This window comes from Homo sapiens (assembly GCF_000001405.40).
Source record: "Homo sapiens chromosome 14 unlocalized genomic scaffold, GRCh38.p14 Primary Assembly HSCHR14_CTG2_UNLOCALIZED".
In the NCBI taxonomy this organism is placed as follows: Eukaryota; Metazoa; Chordata; class Mammalia; order Primates; family Hominidae; genus Homo; species Homo sapiens.
The window spans coordinates 80,686-83,130 of NT_167219.1; positions in this window are offsets into that span (position 1 = coordinate 80,686).

Sequence of the window (2,445 nt, forward strand, 5' to 3'; positions counted from 1 at the left end):
GCCTCCACGGCGTGATGGCCTGACGATGGATTCCTGTGTGCGGCAACATGGGAAGTCTGCAGTGTGGCCGGTTTGGAAACTGGCAAGAGAGCGAAGGCACCATACCAGTCTTCCACCCTTCCCTGCATGTTTCCGGGGGCCTGCAGAGCTCCGGGAGCAAACAGTCAGCATGACACATCTCTGAACTGATCAACAAAGTGATGTAACTCTTGTCTAGGTTCTACCTACAAGGGCTTTGTGACATATCACTGCACTGATCACCCAGGTCATTCAACTCTTGTCTAGGATCTGCCTACAGGGGGTATTGTGAAATATCTCTGCACTGATCAACTAGGTGATGTTACCCTTGCTAGGCTCTGCCTACAGGGGCGTTTTCACATACCCCTGAACTGATGACAAAGGTGATGTAACTCATGCCTAGACTTTGCCTACAGGGCACATTGTGACATATCTCTGCACTGATCACTCAGGTGATGTAACTATTGTCTAGGCTCTGCTTAAAAGGGCCTTGTCACATATCTCTGCACTGATCATCCAGGAGATGTAACTCTTGCCTAGGATCTGCTTACAGGTGGTATTGTGACATATCTCTGCACTGATCACCTAAGTGATGTAACAGTTGTGTAGGCTCTGCCTACAGGGGCACCTTGACATATCTCTGCACTGTTAACCGAGGTGATGTAACACTTGTCTAGGCTGTGCCCACAGGGGGATTGAGACATATCTCTGCAATGATCGCGAGGTGATCGAAGTCTTGCGTGGTCTCTGCCTACTGGGGACATTGTGACATATCTCTGCACTGATCTCCCAGGTTCTGTAACTTTAATCTAGTCTCTGGCTACAAGGCATTGTGACATATCACTGCACTGATCACCCAGATGATATAACTCTTGTCTAGGCTCTACCTACAGGGGGATTGTGACATATCTCTGCAATGATAACCCAGATGATATAACTCTTCTCTAGGATCTGCCTACATGGTGATTTGTGACATATACCTGCAATGATCACCCAGGTGATATACCACTTGTCAAGGCTCTGCCTAGAGGGGTATTGCAATGTATCTCTGCAGTGATCATCTAGGTCATGTAACTCCTGTCTAGGCTCTGCCTACAGTGGCATTGTGACATATCTCTGCACTGATCAACCAGGTGATGTAACTCTTTTCTAGGATCTGCCTACAGGGTGCTTTGTGACATATCCCTGCAATGATCACCCAGGTGATGTACCACTTGTCAAGACTCAGCCTACAGAGACATTGTGATGTATCTCTGCACTGATCACCTAGGTCATGTAACTCTTTTCTAGGCTCTGCCTACCGTGGCATTTTGACATATCTTTGCACTGATCACCCAGGTGATGTAACAATTATCTAGGATCCGCCTAAAGGGACTTTGTGACATAACTCTGCACTGATCATCCAGGTGATGGAGCATTTGTCTACGATCTGCCTAAGGGGGCATTGTGACATATTTCTGCACTGATCACCCAGGTGACGGACTCTTGTCTTGGATCTGCCTATGGGGGCATTGTGACATACCTCTGCACTGATCACCCAGGTGATATAACTGCTGTATAAGCTGTGCCTACAGGGGAATTGTGAGAGATCTCGCCACTGATCACCCAAGTGATGAAACTATTGTCTAGGCTTTGCCTACAATGACATACCTTTGCACTGATAATCCAGGTGATGTAACTCATCTAAGTCCTGCCTACAGGAGCTTAGTGACATATCTCTGCACTGATCACTTAGGTGATTTCACACTTTTATAAGCACTGCCTACAGGGAATTTTGACAAATCTCTGCACTGATCACCTAGGTGACGTAAACCTTGTCTACCCACTGCCCAAAGGGGGCACTGGGAAATATCTCTGCACTGATCACCCAGGTGATTCAACTCTTGTCTAGGTTCTGCCTACAAGGGGTAATGTGAAATATCTCTGCACTGATCAACTAGGTGATGTAACTCTTGTCTAGGCTCTGACTACAGGGTACATTGTGACATATCTCTGCACTGATCACCCAGGTGATGCAACTCTTCTCTATGCTGTGCCTACAGGGGACATTGTGACATATCTCTGAACTGATCACCCAGGTGATGCAACTCTTTTCTATGCTCTGCCTACAGGGGGCATTGTGATATATCGCTGCACTAATCACCCAGGTGATTCCACTCTTGTCTAGGATCTGCCTACAGGGGGTATTGTGAAATACCTCTGCACTGATCAACTTGGTGATGTAACTCTTGTCTAGGCTCTGCCTGCAGGGGTGTTTTCACATATCCCTGAATTGATGACAAAGGTGATGTAACTCTTGTCTAGGCTCTGCCTATGGGGGCATTGTGACTTATCTCTGCACTGATCACGCAGGAGATGTGACACTTGTCTAAGCTCTGCCTAGAGGGACATTGGGACATGTCACTGCACTGATCTCTGAGGTGATGT